The sequence below is a fragment of the Homo sapiens genome, chromosome 12 (genome assembly GCF_000001405.40).
Source record: "Homo sapiens chromosome 12, GRCh38.p14 Primary Assembly".
Taxonomy (NCBI): Eukaryota; Metazoa; Chordata; class Mammalia; order Primates; family Hominidae; genus Homo; species Homo sapiens.
Window position 1 is genome coordinate 68,209,064 of NC_000012.12, and position 17,287 is coordinate 68,226,350.

The 17,287-nt window shown below is 35.1% G+C and overlaps 1 protein-coding gene across 1 annotated transcript in view; it reads right to left on the reverse strand.

Annotated features, from left to right (window-relative positions):
- IL26 (interleukin 26) overlaps positions 1-16,747 on the reverse strand; it is a 24,462-nt gene extending 7,715 nt beyond the window's left edge. The window contains exons 1-3 of the mRNA NM_018402.2: positions 16,523-16,747; positions 16,381-16,437; positions 16,086-16,220 (exon numbers count right to left, since the gene is read on the reverse strand). Coding sequence (NP_060872.1) covers positions 16,086-16,220; positions 16,381-16,437; positions 16,523-16,693 — 363 coding nt within the window. The 5' untranslated portion in view covers positions 16,694-16,747. The remainder of the gene's footprint in view (positions 1-16,085; positions 16,221-16,380; positions 16,438-16,522) is intronic.
- Positions 16,748-17,287: the final 540 nt, after the last annotated feature.

Genomic DNA, 17,287 nt, shown 5'->3' on the forward strand with positions numbered 1-17,287 from the left:
GTTTTTTCCAATTTCCTTATGTGTTCAAAAAAATCATACAAATTTGTATTGCATATGATGGCTAAAGCAAAAATGGAAAACCTCTACTGATTGTTGGGGTAATCAGACCCAACACCGGGTCGTGGGGGCAACGAAGTCCAGTGGAGTCAAAGGAATGAGAAAAGACAGTTTGAGAGAGAAAGTGAGTCCAGGGGGCCAACACGAGTACGGAGGCTGCAAAGGCCCTGAGCTCTGGAAGCCCAGACTATTTATTGGTGATCAAACAAAGAAACAGGTGGTGAGAATGTGGGGTTGAAAGGGAGCATTGCATTAAGCACATGATTTACAGCTGTGACAGTTTAGCATATGCTCTGCTACTTGAGATAATGGAGAGTAGGTTCTTTTAACTCAAGATACAATCGATCCTGGGAGAGCAAGGAGCCGACAAGTCTAGACACATTCCAGAGGCCACGAGGGGTTTTATGCCCTGAGCCCTGGATGCTATCCTAGCCCCTACGGGTTTTATGCCCTAGGCTTAGATTATGGTGCGTCAGGGTAGCCTTCCACCCTTTTGCACAGAGCTTGGTGTTCCAAAAGCCGTGAGGGGTTTTAGACTCTGGACCCTGCACATGTTCCAAGACTCTTTTACATTATATCAGACATGCAAGCCCCCGCCTCAGCTTCTCCCAACACTCAGCTTTTACCCCAACACCAATAATTTGAGGAAAGGAGATAGTGGGTTATGAGTCGACAGCTACATGTGTCACGGTTCCTCAGAGAATTAACTGCCCAGACTGCATTCTCACGGAGAATGGCCTCAAATCCTCTCTCGACAAAAAGGATTTTATTAGATTATACTCTATCATATTATAAATATACAGCCAGAGGGTAAGTGAAAAACCATACATAAGACCTTCATTTTTATAGACCTCAATATACAACTTCAGACTGGATCATAACCACCCTTCTTGTTGTTTTTTGTTTTTTTAGTTGACCTTAATGGCTAAGATGGTTTCTACTGTGACCACAGCCTTGGTTTCTTGAAAGTTTTTCTTCTCCAAAATACAGATGATAGATAAGAGTGACAGATAAGAGATTCAACTAAAGACTAAACTTAATTTTATTGTTTTACTGCAGATACAGACTCTTAAGCAGATCTTATTCACTGACTTTTTGCACAGTTGTTCACATGGGGTCCTACAAATATTATCTGAAGTGCTTTTAAAGCCATACTTGAGAAAATTATGCTAGTATAATGTTTAAAAAATAGACTAAATAAATAAATATCAGTTTGGCAAAAAAAAAAAAAAAAAAAAAAAAAAAAAAAAAAAAAAAAAAAAAACAGCACAAGCACTAGGACACCAACACAAAACTACTGACACCAGAAAGATTTATAGGAAACTTTGAAAGAAAACAACAAAATTAGCATAATTTGAAGAAAGCATGATTAGATTTACAAGCAAGTTTTCATGAAAGTAGAAAAGAGGGACTAAATTATTAGCCAAGTGTCTCTCTGCGAAACCAAATTCATAATCAGACATTTAATTTTAATAAAAAGACAAATATCCAACAACTCAGTAGATATTGAACAGAAAAGTTTACAAAACATCATTATCCAATTTCTATATTCTCTATAACTACAAAGATCATCTGATATAGGTAAGCTAGCTTACCTAGAATAATCTTAAACCCTTGTAAGACATTTCTTCATGTTCCAACCATAGAAAAAAATTAGAAAGAGTTTTTTTAATACTTTAAATACAAATAGATACTATAGTAGGATAACATTAGTGCAGGTTTTTACATTTTTCAGTGTTATTGTCATTCATCAGAATTAGTTCACACAATTTAGCATGTGAATTAAATTCCGAACTCAGCAATAGAGCTGCACCCCATAATTTTTTATTGAGACATAATAGATGTAAATATTTTCAGGGTACATGTGACATTTTGATGCATTCATATAATGTGTTATGATTAAATCAGGGTAACTTCCTCCCACTGTATTTTTGAGCCCATTAATCAACCTCTCTTCATCTTGCCACACCCCTACCTCTCCCAGCCTCTGCTCACACTCAACCTATTCACTGTCTTCATGAGATCCACTTTATTAGCTCCCACAAATGGGTGAGAACAGGAAATAGTTGTCTTTCCATGCCTGGCTTCCTTCACTTAACGTAAAAACCTCTGTTCCATCCATGTTGCTGCAAATGACAGAATTTCATTTTTTTCATTATACCACATTTTCTTTATCCATTCATCCATTGATGAGCACTTAGATTGATTCCATATGTTGGCTACTGTGGCTAGTGCTGAATAAACATTTGAGTGCAGGTTATCTCTTCAAGAAATTGATTTCCTTTCTTTAGGATATATATCCAGTAGTGAGATTGCTGAATCACATGGTAGTTATACTTTCAGTTTTTTGAGGAGCTTCCATACTGTTTTCCATAGCGGTTATACTAGTTTACATTCCCACCAACAGTGTGCCAGGGTTCCCCTTTCTCTACCTCCTTCCCAGCATCACTACTGCCTTTTAAGTTATAGCCATTCTAACGGGGGTGAGATGGTATCTCACTGTGGTTTTGATTTGCATTTCTCTGATTAGTGATATTGAGTATTTTGATATGCCTGTTGGCCATTTGTATGTCTATTCAGATCTTTTTCCCATTTTTAAATCAGATTATTTGCTTTTTGCTATTGAGTTCTTTGAGTTCCTCATATATTCTGATTAGTCCCTTGTCAGACGGATAGTTGCAAATATTTTTTCCGATTCTGTAGGTTGCCTTCTTACTTTGTCGATTGTTTCCTTTGCTGGGCAGAGGATTTTTAGCTTTACATAATCCCATTTGTCTATTTTTTTCTTTGGTTGTCTGTACTTTCGAGGACTTACTCAAAAAAAAATCTCTGCCCAGACCAATGTCCTGAAGTGTTTCCTCAAGTTTTCTTCCAATAGTTTCATAGTGTTAGGTCTTATATTGGGCTCCAATCCATTTTGATTTTATTTTTCTATACTGTGAGAGATAGGAGTTTAGTTTCATTTTTCTGCATATGGTTATCGAGTTTTCCCAGCATCATTTATTGAAGAGACTGTTCTTTCCCTCAATGTATATTCTTGGCACCTTTGTCAAAATATGAGTTGGCTGTAAATGTATGGATTTATTTCTGGGTTCTCTATTCTTTTCTATTGGTCTATGTTTTTTGTTTTTAATGCCAGTACCATGCTCTTCTGGTTACTATAGCTTTATAGTATGTTTTGAAGTCAGGTAGTGTGATGCTTCCAGCTTTGTTCTTTTTGCTCAGTATTGCTTTGGCTTTTGGGGGGTCTTTTGTGGTTCTGTGGTTCCATGTAAATTTTACCATGTTTTTCTATTTCTGTGAAGAATGCTAGAAGTATCTTGATAGAAATTGCATTTAATCTGTAGATAGCTTTGGGTAGTATTGATATTTTAGCAGTATTATTTCTTTCAATGAAGGAGCATTGAATATCCATGTTTTGTGTGTGTGTCCTCTTCAATTTCATTGTTTTATACACAATTTCATCAATGTTTTATAGTTTTTCTTATAGAGATCCTTCACTTCCTTGGTTAAATTTATTCCTAGTTATCTTATATTTTTGCAGCTATTGTAAATGGGATTGCTTTTTTATTTCTTTTTTATATTGTTCACTGTTTGCATGCATAAATGCTATTGATTTTTGTATCCTGCAAATTTACGGAATTTTTTTTATCAGTTCTAACAGTTTAGGTAGAGTCTTTAGGATATTTTGAATATAAGACCATGTCATCTGTGAAAAAGCATAATTTAACTTCTTCCTTTTCAAATTGAATGCACTTTATTTCCTTCTCTTGATTATTTGCTGTGACTAGGACTTTCAGTATTATGTTGAATAAAAGTGGTGAAAGTGGTCAAACTTGTCCTGTTCCAGATGATAGAGGAGAGGCTTTCAATTTTTCCCCATTCAGTGTGATGTTAGCTCATCATAAATGGCTTTTATTGTTCTGAGGTATGCCCCTTCTATATCTAGTCTGTTAAGGGTTTTTATCATAAAGGGATATAAATTTTATTGAATACTTTTTCAATATCTATTGAAATGATCATATGGTTTTTGTTCTTGGTTCTTTTCATGTATCACATTTATTGATTTGCACATTTTGAGCCATCCTTGCATCCCTGGGATGCATCCAGCCTGATCTGGTGAATGATCTTTTCAATGTGTTGTTGAATTTGGTTTGCTAATATTTTTGTGAGGATTTTTGTGTTTGTTTTCATTAGAAACATTGGCCTGCAGTTTTCTCTTTTTTGTTGTGTCCTTGTCTGATTTATATCAAGGTACAACTGGACTCACAGAATGAGTTTGGAAATATGCTCTTCTCTTTAATTTTTTAAGAGTTTGGGTAGAATTGGAATTAATTCTTTTTAAAATGTTTGGTAGAACTCAGCACTGAATCCATTATGTCCTGGGTTTACTTTAATACAAGACTTTTGTTACAGCTTCAATCTTGTTACTCATTATTGGTTTGTTCAGGTTGTCTTTCTTCATGGCTTAATCTTGATAGGTTGCATGTGTCTAGTAATTTATCCATTTCTTCTAAGTTTTCCAATTTGTTAACATATAATTTTCCGTAATATTCTGTAATTCTGTAATAGTTATTTGTATTTCTGTGGCATCAGTTGTTATGTCTCTTTTTTCATCTCTGATTTTATTTTGTATTTTCTCTCTTTTTCTTAGCTAAATGTCCACTGTTTATCTTTTCAAAAAAACCAATTTTTTATTTTATTGCACTTCCCTATTGTTTTGTAGGCTCAATTTCATTTGTTTCTGCTCTGACATTTATTAGTTATTTCCTTCTACTAAATTTGGTTTGTTCTTACTTTCCCAGTTCCTTCAGATACATTATTAGTTGTTTATTTGAAGTCTTTCTACTTTTTTGAGGTAGGCATTTACTGCTATAAACTTCCCTCTTAGGACTGCTTTTGCTGTATCCCATAGGTTTTGGTATATTGTGTTTCCACTTTTATTTATTTTAAGACATTTTTAAATTTCCATCGTAATATATTTACTGACTCATCGATTGCTCAGGAGCATATTATTTAATTTCCATGAGTTTTCGTAGTTTCCAAGATTCCTCTTGTTGTTTATTTCTGTTTTATTCCATTGTGGTCAGAAAAGATACTTGACATAATTATGACTTTTTGAATGTGCTGACACTTGTTTGGTAGCCTAAAATATAGTCTTTCTGGAGAATGTTCCATGTGCTGATGAAAAGAATGTGTATTCTGTAGCAGTTGGGTGAATTATTCTGTGAATGTCACATCGGCCCATTTGGTTTAATGTGTAGTTTAACTTTTCCTGTCTAAATGATCTGTCCATTACTAAGATTGGAGTGTTGAAGTCCTCTGCTATTATTGTATTGCAGTCTAGCTCTCCCTTTAGATCTATTAATGCTTGCTTTATATACTTGGGTGCTCTTATGTTGCATGCATAGATATTTATAATTGTTATATCCTCTAGCTGAATTAACCTCTTTATCATTATATAGTGACTTTCTACCCTCTTTTTACGGACTTTGGCTTGTAGTCTATCTGATAAAAGGATAGCTAGTCCTGCTCTTTTTTTGGTTTCCATTTGCATGGAATATCTTTTATCCATTCCTTAACTGTCAGTCTATGTGAGCCTTTATAGGTGAAGCAAGTTTCTTATAGGTGGCATATTGTTTGGTCTTGTTTCTTTATCCATTCAGCCACTCTGTCATTTAATTAGAAAATTTAGTCCACTTACATTCAATGTTATCATTGATAGGTAAAAACTTACTACTGACATTTTGTTACCTGTTTTATGTTTTTTTTTTTTTATTTCATTTTGTTTTTTTTAACTCCTCTCTTCCTTTCTACTGTCTTCTGTGGTTATTTTCTTTGGCAGTATGTTTTATTTTGTTGCTCTTAATTTTTAGTGCATTTATTATAGTTTTTGCTTTGTGGTTACCACGAGGCTTACAAAAAAACCTCTTATAAATATAACGAGTTATTTCAAACAGATGACAACTTATATTTGATCAAAATAAAAAGGGACTAGAAACAAACCAAGGAAAAACTTTTAAAAACTATACTTTAACTCCATCCCCCAACACACACACATTTTGACTTTTTGTTGAGGCAGGTATAGGTATCCTACCCAGGAGCTCAAGATGATGGGAAAGCTGATTGTCCACCTCAATCCCACGTTTTCCAGTGTAGTAATTGTGAGTTGGGAGAAAATTTTCCCTGTGCTTGGTGCCTGGCAGATTGGGGGAGGGGCATTGTGGATGTAAAATTCCAATTCTGTTACTATCTGCCCAAAATTTTTTCACTTCTCTGAGGCCTCAGGAACTGTCTTATCCTCATATATTAGCATTCTGGGATATTGCTGGTGATAATCATAGTGCTGTGTATTTGTTTTTGGTTTTCAGGATGCAGAAGAAGGGATAGTGAAGCCAGCTTGCTTTTTCTCCGTCATTTTTCATGCCTCACAATTTTGACAGAGAAATTATGTATCATTAACCAAGAAATGAATTTGTCAGCAAAACAATTCAATAACATAATTAGAAAATACCTTTACCAAAGTTAAAACCAATTACTCATAATTTATTTATCTTTTTTTCTTGAGACAGAATCTCCCTCTGTTGCTGAGGCTGGAGAGCAGTGGTGCAATCTTGACGCATTGCAATCTCAGCCTCCTGGGTTCAAGTAATCCTCGTGCCTCAGCCTCCTGAGTAGCTGGGATTATAGGCATGCACCCCATATCCAGATAACTTTTTATTTTTATTTTTATTTTTGTTTTTAGTAGAGACAGGGTTTCACTATGTTGGCCAGGCTGGTCTCAAACTTCTGGCCTCAAGTGATCTGCCCACCTCAGCCTCCCAAAGTGCTGGGATTACAGGCATGAGCCACCATGCTCAGCCTATTTATCTTTAAATTAAACTACTGCTGGCCAGGCGTGGTGGCTCACGCCTGTAATCCCAGCACTTTGGGAGGCTGAGGTGGATGGATCACAAGGTCAGAAGATCGAGACCATCCTGGCCAACATGGTGAAACCCCATCTCTACTAAAATACAAAAAATTAGCCAGGCATGCTGGCACACGCCTGTAGTCCCAACTACACAGGAGGCTGAGGCAGGGGAATCGCTTGAACCCAGGAGGTGGAGGTTGCAGTGAGCCAAGATTGCACCACTGCACTCCAGCCTGACAACACAGCAAGACTCCGTCTCATAAAAAAATAAATAAGCTACTACTATAAATTATACACATTATACAATATAATACTAATTTTAAGCACTAAAAAAGTATCTGATTACTTAAGAGAACCACTCCTTCGTAAATTGTTGAGAAAATGTAATTGGAATAAAAATTAATGTTCTGTGCATGAAAAGCAATAAAGGAAGCACTAACAATTCTGCAGAACTACTACATGCTAGGTACTTAATTCTCCCAACGACCTTAAGATGAGGCTACTGTTATTGAAGACACAGGTTTTAGACTTTGCAGCTGATAAAAGAATAAGACAGGATTGGTCTCACTCTTGCTTTATCAGTTCAACCAGTTGCAATTTTTACAATTTTAAATTACAGGGATGAATGAATGGTATTATTTTACAAGTTGATAAGCTATTTGCAATTGATGATACAAGTTACTTATTAAACAGTCTACAAAAAATGGAAACACAATATTCTGTTTGCCAATTTTTGCCAGACTTTAAAATTAATTACATGCAACCGACATGAAGAAATGTGTCTCTCTAAATACCAATTACTGTTCAGGCTCTCAAAATGTTAATTAAAGTAGACGATGAAATCTTAAAAACTAACAGAAATTATTTTCATTTCTATTTTGATCACTAGCAATTAGGTAAATTATTTTATGAATCCAATAAGGTGACTGCTAAATTCTCTTTCAAGTCTGAGAGTATTTGAGTTCTGTAAGAATCTCTAAAATGTCTTCTTACATAAACAATTTTCCAAATATTATGGCTAGGAAAGAGTATAAACATAAAGAAGTTTACATTACACATAACTTATTTTTTGAACAATTATACTATCTGACTTACCCAAATCAAACTAATTGGAAAATATATTTTATTAGGTGCTGCAAAATGCTTAGAATGTCACCAGAAGCAATGAGAGGATGTCCAAATACAGTGGTACTGGGAATTCCAGTCCTTGGAGTCTATCATGATAATTTGTCATGCTGTTTTATCTTAAGAGTGGCTCAAGAAAACGGACTTGCAAGGAAGCCCAAAAGGCAGGTACCTTAGAGAAATCAGATAAGCTTCACAAAAATAAGAAATAATTTCATGAGTTAATAATGAAACAGAGAAAATGACAACAAAATTAATAATTCATTGGTCATTATGGGAGAAAATCAGAAAACCAACCACTTATGTTGAAAGCTAGCAAATAAAGGAAGATAATTAAGTATTTAACCTGGCTTTCTTATATGATAAGTTCCTCAGAACATCCAAATAGGAGTAGATTCTATTTATTGAATTATCCCAGCTTATGAGTAAAGAAGATAAAATAGAATTTAAAAATTATTATTTTGTAGTGCCTTATGAATTAACGGATCTAGACAATAATTGTCAGGGGTTGTTATCATCGTAAAAATAAAGATCATACATCATGTGACCCAGTGAAAGCAAACAATGCTACCTATAAAGTGTTCTAGCTAAAACATCAAGCTAAATCTGATCAAGTCTCTCTGTATAATTGTTAATGTATGGTAAATAAAGAGGAGAATATATTAAATGACACTATGAAAATGCAGTCAGAAAATACAGACTATGAGAAACTCTGTGAGACAAATGGCCGAATGTCCTGAACAAATACATTTCAAAAAGGAGGAAGAGAAGGAAAAGAAGAAAGGAAAGCAAAATCATAGGAAATATGGTAGAGTTTACAGAAATGTGTTGCTTCAATGAGTGGCAAAAACAGCACTAGACTAAACAATACTTTGGTCCTGCCTAACAAAGCTTAAACAACAAGATCTGAAAAGATCAAACTGTTTGCAACTAATTTAACTGTGTCCCAGAAGAAAACTCAAGAATATTTACAGAAATATAAAAATGTCTAGGATCCAACAAGGTAAAATTCATAATATTTGACATTTGATCAAAATTACCAGCCGTGCAAAGATGCTGTAAAATATGACCCATAACGAGGGAAAAAAATCAATCAATTGAAACCAACCCAGAGTGGACACAAATGTTACAATTAATCAATAAGGATATTTTAAAAGTTGCTATAACTCTATTCCATATGTTCTAGAAGTTAGAGAAAGACTGATCATGTTCAATAGAGCAATGGAAAATATTAAAAAGACTCAATTCAAACTTCTAGAGATAAAAACTACAATGTATGAGGTGAAAAATATTCTGAATGGGACTAACAGATAGGCACTACAAAAGAAACGATTAGTGATCTTGAAGATGTAGCAATAGAAACTATTCACAATGAAACACAGAAAAGACTGGGAAAAAACAACCCACAGAATCAGTGAGCTGTGGGACAACTACAAATGGGCTAATATATGTGTAATTAGCATTCCAAGAGGAGAAGAGACAGAAGGAGATACAGAAAAAAGTTTTTGAATAAATAATGCTGAACAATTTCAAATTTGATGAAAACTATATACTCACAAATACAAGATTCCCAATCAACTCCAAGCACAAGAAGCCTGAAGAAAACTACATCAATTCACATCATAATCAAATTGCTTAAAACAAGTAATAATGAGAAAAATAAAAGGCACGAATATGTTATGAGTAAAAGGATGGAAAAAGACATAGCACACTAACATCAATCAAAAGAAAGCTGGAGTGATTCTATTAGCATCAAAAAAGAAGTGGATTTCAGGACAAAGAATATTATTAGGGACAATAAGGGTAATTTTATAATGATAAATGTGTCAATTCATCAAGAGAATATAACAATCATAAACATTTCTGTACCTAATAACAGAAATTCAAAATACATGAAGCAATATCTGATAGAACTTCAAGAAGCAACAGAAGTTCACAATTAATGTCAGAGATACCAATAATTGATAAAACAAGTAGAAAAAAGTTAATAAAGAGAGAGAAAAAGTAAAAAGCTGTCACAACTAAATCTAATTGAAATGTATAAAATACTCAGCCCAACAATGGCAGAATACATATTCTTTTCAAATATACATAGAACATTTACCAAAATAGACCAAATTCTGGGTTATGAAACATGGATCAGCAAATATAAAGGGATTCAAGTCATACAAAGTATGGTCTCTGGCCAAAATGATATCAAATTAGAAATCAAAATTAGAAAAGTATCTAGAAAAATTCCCACATATAAAAACTAAATAACACTCTTCTAATAACCCATATATAAAAGAAAAAATAAAAAGGGAAATTAGCAAGTAATTTAAAGCAAATAAACATGAAAGCACAACATAGCAAAGATTGTGAAATGTAACTAAAGAAGTACTTAGAGGGAAATTTATAGTTCTAAACTCCTATAATAAAAAGTTAGAAAATCACAAATTAATAATCTCAGCTTCCAAATAAAGAAAAAAAAATTTCAAGTTAATGACCCAAGTTTCTAGCTTAAGAAACTAGAAGGAGCAGACTAAATATAAATTTAATAGAAGAAAATGAATAATAATGTTCAGAATAAAAATCACTGAAATAAAAACAGAAAAGTAATAAAGAAAAATCAATGAAACTAAAAACTGGTTCTTTGAGAAATCAATAAAATTGATGAATTTTTAGCCAGACCCATGAGAAAGAAAAAATAAAGACAAAAATTACCAATATCAGAAATAAGAGAAGTGACATCATCCTGTACTATGCAGATATTAAAAGCATATTAAGGAAATATCATGAAAAATTATCTGGCTATAAATTTGGTGAATTTGATGAGATGAATAAAATCACTGAAAGACACAAACTACCAAGGTTCCTTCAAAAAGAAATAGATAATCTGAAAAAATAACCTTGCATCTACTAAAAAATAGAATACATAGTTTAAAATCTTCCCACAAAGAAAACTCTAAGCAAAAATGGCTTCACTGGTAAATCTTGCCAAACATTTAAGAAAAAATAAGTCTATACTAACACTTTCTGAAAATTGAAAAGGTAAACCCTTTTCAACTTTATGAGGCCAGGATTATGCTAGTATCAAAGTGACACAGATATTACAAGAAAACCGTAGACTAACATCTAACATATGTAGATGCAAAATTTTTAGGCAAAATTTTAGCAAATTAAATCTAGTGATGTATGAAAGAAATAATATATTATTGCCAAGTAGAGTGCATCCCAGAAATGCAAGATTGGTTTAACTTTGAAAATCAATGTAATTCATTGTTTCAATTGTCCAAAAATTAAAAATCATACAATCCTGTCAATAGATGTGTTAAAAAGGCATTGATCTAAATGTGATATTTAAAATGAGGAAACTTCTAAATGTAAAATTTTTTCATGACCTTTGTGTTAAATAAAGATTTCTTCAATATGACACCAAAACATGGTCCATTAAAGAAAAAACTATTATATTGTACTTCATAAAATGTAAAATCTCTTCAAAAGACACTAAGATAATAAGAAGGTGTCATAGATATCTGTCATCCAGGTTGGAGTGCAGTGGTGCGGTCTTGGCTCACTGCAACCTCCACCTCCTGGGTTCAAGAGATTCTCCTGTCTCAGTCTCCCGAGTAGCTGGGACTACAGGCATGCGCCACCGCGCCTGGCTAATTTTTGTATTTTTTCTTGAGATGGGGTTTTGCCATGTTGGTCAGGTTGGTCTCGAACTCCTGACCTCAGGTGATCCACCCATCTCGGCCTCCCAAAGTGCTGGGATTGTAGGCGTAAGCTACCGTACCTGGCCAAATTCTTATATATTCTCCCTTGTATACAAATATATTAATGTTAAATATAGTCATAAGAATTCTGCATGCTCAGAAACATTCTGATCTTATGATTTTTATGCCCTCAAGTCTCCCCTCTCCCTGCTACTTGATCTTTATTTCCAGAAGTGGGAATTAGGAACAGAAACGAACACAACAGTCCTCAACACAAAAGCTTCTTTCTTATGAAGACAAAACAAAGCCAGTCAACTAAAACTAAATAAATAAAAGAAAAAACTAATTCAACAACTTGGTCATTGACAAATTCATCATTTGGCAATTGTTCTGGAGCAGGCACATGGACAGTTTTTTAAGTATATTAAAGGAAAGGAGGAATGGGGTGGGAGGAAAAGGAAAGGAATGAAGGAAGGAAAAGGAAGGAAAGCACGAGGTCTCAGCCATTTGACGAATATCCATCAAGTGCAAATCCATACCCTCAAAATGTGGCAATTATTTATTTCATCACCTTTATCAAATAGTAATGAGTGACACAATGTTGCCTATGAACAGGAATAAAAAAGAATAAATGGAAAGGAGGTGGATAGGACCAGTTGCTCACCATGAGCATTTTATTTTTATATCTGAATTTTGAACTATCTAAAACCTAGAAATGTTCAATAGTGGGCTGGTGATATGAATGTCAAAAGAGTTGTACTGTTATCTGCAGCCAGTAATCATAAAGTTCCATGCAAATGAACTGCAAGTGAAATAGATATTGATCATCTCTAGCTGACAACATGTGATCCAGTAACTACTTCCGGGTTATACCAGAGTTCATCTTTAAGTTTTTCTTTCTGGTGATACAAAACAACACCCACCAAGGATAACTCAAATATAATCCAGGTAATGAGATTTGGTAATATAGTACATAAGTATTCCATCATTGGAATTGCAATATTTCCCCAACCCAAATACTCCTATTAAACCTACCAGGGAAGGCTACTGTAAATTTTAAAGGAATAATTTAGTACTTTGCTCTTGATATGTGAAAATTTTCACCTAATTCAGCATGTAATCAACAAATCCAACCAGAGTCATACCCTATTTGGTAAAATATAATTATCTGAAAAAAAGTTACCATCACAAATTAAAATGTCTTTGCAACTTTAGCAGAGTAAGCATCTTTTAATAACTCTGGTATCCATTAAAAATTGTCAACAGAAATAAAACAGGTACACTGATAAGAGCATTTAAAAATCCCATGCACAAGCTAACAATTTATAAAGAGCTGTAGTAATCCTTACTATTACCTTTAATGTATTAAGATACAAAATACATAATTACTGGATTCTTCAAATGATTTAAAGCAATCAATATCATATGTTTTGCTTTTTTAAAATTATTCCCAAGGTTTGGGGCAGAGGAAACTTTCAGAAGAACACAAACCAATGTTTTATTGTTGGCATAATTTCAAATATTAAGTGCACACATTAAGCAAGTAGGCTGTGTGCCAAAATTCTGTGTAAATCAGCTGTTCAGAACACAGACAGCATTTAACTCTGCAGCAGCACTACCAATGCAGCATTCATTGCTCAATCAACCCCTCAGAATCCTGTTTAGCCTATAGCATCATACTAACCTAAGCATTATCCCAGAGTACCGCCTCCAGGAAACAGAATGGGCCATTTCCTTCTGTCTCCCGATCGTGGAAGAAGCCTTGGATCAGTTTTAAAATATGTCAAGGTTCTGCGGAAAGCTTTCTAAAGCTCAGAGCGTGCAGAACGGAAGGCCCCCTCTCACAGTCCCCCCTTTCAAGAAGGGACTTGACCAATTGTGACTTGATCACTACTGCTCTGAATCCCCAGAGCTTTGTTTTACTTATTTTTCCCACAACAACCTCAATAGTACGGACGGCAGGGGAAATACGGCAAGTATAATTAGTTTCAATAGGTTGACCATTTATACATTGATTACATTTAGTGTCCGTTTTTATTAACAAAATATCATATTTAAATTAATGTTGTTTACTTCATGTTTTATAACTTCTGTCTGCTAAGCCCTCTCCCAACCACTGATTCAGAGATTCATAGAGTAGGTGCTCAGTTAATTTGTATTAAACAGACAGATACCAGTTTCTGCTGCCAGAAATATAAAATTATGTTTGGCTGAAACATTATAGACACCAGGCCAGTTACCTTTTCCCTAAATCAATGTCTGCAGTCTTTCTAACGCTCAGGCCAATCCTGCCGCTTTATGTTTCACGGGGGAGCTTGCTTTACCCCAGGGCATAAACTGCACAGCTTGTAAGACAACTGATGCTCACACTGATAGGCTTGAGGTGGGAGCAGGGAAGAAGGAAAGCGCGGAGTTACGTGTTGCCTAGCGAGATTGATGAGATGATGTGTTCGTATTTGGCCACAGGAGGGAGCCAGACCCTTTGGGAAGCAGCAACAACCAACCAGAGCGGCGCCACACTGTCCCACCCACTTTAGGAAAACTTCACCAGAAACAAACCAAGAAAAACCAGAGTTCCTAGACATATCCAGGTTTCCTAAGCTTTTCATCTAGAATATTGTTCGTTTTAGGTTATAACTGTCGCTATGTGTTCTCTAGCTATTTGGGTCAACAAAACCAAATTAGTAATGAAAACCTGACATGGATTTGGGGGTTCTGACCAGACACTCTGTACTGTATCAGGCAAGGATTTAACAATGCAACTTAAATTTAAGAGACTATTTATAGTTACACATGTACTTTCTTCATAAGGTTGTCTTATAGGTTTAAGCATAGAACAAAATTTCAGGCACCAGAACTGGCCCAGAGAATTCTCCCTGTGTTTTGCAAAGAGGTATCAATTTGTAATTTCTTTTTATCAGTGTTGTAATTTTAATAAAATATGAGAGTTTATAAAAAAACATGCAATCCAAACCTAAGTAAGGGTATAACAAACACAAACTAAGCAAAGAAATAGAGAACTTAAATTTGGTGGTTTTTTTTTTTTTTTTTTGCTTGTTTTTTTCTTTTTAACCTAGCCGATCTACTCACACTCATAAAATGCCTCATGTACTCTGGGCTGAAATTTGGGTTACGGAGCACTTTAGTTGACCACAAGAAAAAAACATCTTAACTCTTAAAAAATAAACACCCCCCCCCTCTAATGGCCCAGTGTTTAAGTCTCAGTGACCATGATGCCCAGGATGAAGAGCTCCTTTCCAACTGGCTTCCCAAGGATTGCAATAAGGCTCCCAACCCAACCTTTGTACCATCTGCAAGCTACAACTGCAGGAGGCTGGAGAAAGCATACTTGGACCCCAACCAAGGGCACAGAAAAGCTTCAATATTCCCCACAGAGGCAACTCGACTAACATTGCACAGATTCTGGCTCAGTGTTTTTGTTTTGTTTTGTTTTGTTTTGTTTTGTTTTGTTTTGTTTTGTTTTCTGCACTGGTCTTTATTGCTGTGGAATTTTTCATAGAAATGTGATCACTTTTACCTTCTTAATTAATTCTCCACTGCTTGCTATGACAGTGACCATACTGAGGCATCAAATAATTTAGGTACCAAAGAAGGCATGTCTATCCCTTTTTAAGTTTTTTACTGAGATTATGCCTTAAAAGGGGCACAAATATTTTTTTAAAAACATAAGTAAATAAGAAAAAGGGCATCAGTTAGTTATTATTGTTATGGGAAAGAAGGAAGGAAGGAAAGAGAGAGAGAAAGAAAGAAAAGGAAGTAAAGAAAGAAGGAAGGAAGGAAAAGAAAGAAAGAGAGAGGGAGGGAAGGAGGGTGGAGGAAGAGAAAGGGGAGAGGGAGGGAGGGAGAGGGAAGGAAGGGAGGGAGGGAGGGAAGAAGGGAGAGAGGGAGAGAGGGAGGAAGGGAGAGAAAGAGAGACTTAGAATAGTGTTTGGCACAAAGTTGGTACTCAAGAAATATTAAATGGATGAATGGATTACTTGGGAATCACATAATGAGAGAATGATTTTAAAGTATTTATTTGAAAACCATGTCATGTTACTTTAGCTCTCTTCAGTGTGTTTTATGAGCCATTCTTTAAGAAATAATAAATAGCAGCATTCTGAGTAATGTACAGTTATTTAATGCTATTTCCCTGGTGATGACCTCTCCATTTGGACTACAAGCCAACAATTACAAAGCTCGTTTTACTCACCCTTTGGTGTGAGACAGATTCTTACATGCTGACTTCTAAACAGGTTTCTAGGATCAAATGCACAGTATTTGTTGTGTATACTTACACAGTGGCTCAATTTCTGCCTAAGGCTATGAAAGTCCTCCACAAAGCGTATTTTCTTGCAGCCTTGCAATTGCAGTTGACCAAAAACGTCTTCCATGAAGAAGGACAGAAGCTGTTCTTGAAATTGACAGTTTTTCTAAAAATAAGATACAAGAAATTGCATATGGTAAATTATGAATCGTTTTTTAATGTCCCCCGATCATTACTTAATTACTCTCTGAAAAAAATTTAAATGCAGGGGGAAATAAACATCAAATAAGTGGAAATGTAAAAAAGAAGAAGACTTTCTGACTTACCATAAACTGCTTTTTTGTTTTCTTTTTTAATAATCGTATATTTTTTATGCGGTCTTCCTACAATAATACAAAGAGAAATAAGTTGTATCCAAGATTGTAAATGTCCTTGAGGTCATGATTTTAAGCAGAGCCTAATACTTACTGGAATCGTTGCTTTGAGCCATGCTGCTTTGATATAGAGAGCGTCAACAGCTTGGGACAATGTTCCCCTTGGGTAACAACTTTTGGTGAAGGAAGATTGCTTGTGCTTGGCAATGGCAAGAGACAGAGTGACTAACAGCAACCCACACCTCAAAATGAAATTCACCAGCATTTCCCTTCACCCCACTCAGCGTGTGTCACTCACAGCAGCCCAAGAGATACTAATGCCGGTTAGATGAGAGGATAACCTACTTAATGTAGCCCTCAAAGCCACCAGTCCAATGAGGTGCTGTGAAAGATAATTTACAGTTTATATAGAGGAAGATCACTTTGGTTGTTCTATTTTTTTAAGAGCTTGCTTCATAGTCAAAAAACGCTGATCACACCATCAACTGACATTATTTAAAAGCTCAGCCTTACTGGTAAGATTGCGTTCTCATTTCCAAAAGAATTCAGAATTTCAGTTGCCTATCACAGCAGCTTGCATTATTTTAAAAGGCATGCCAATAAAAACAGGATGATTTCCAGGGGGCTGTGTCATAATTTTTTAAACCCCATGTGAAAAATCTCCTTTTCTAACCAGAATCCCAGAAAAAATTTAACAAGGGGGTAGAAATGGGCAGCCCCAGGAAATCTGCTCACGATTCAAATGGGTCTTGTGTTTATTGCTTGCCACATCCTTCACCCAGCTTCCCCCAGAGGCCATTATTCTGCAGATAGCAGCGAGAACATTTCCAGTGCAGAAACAGTAACTCCCCTTAACATA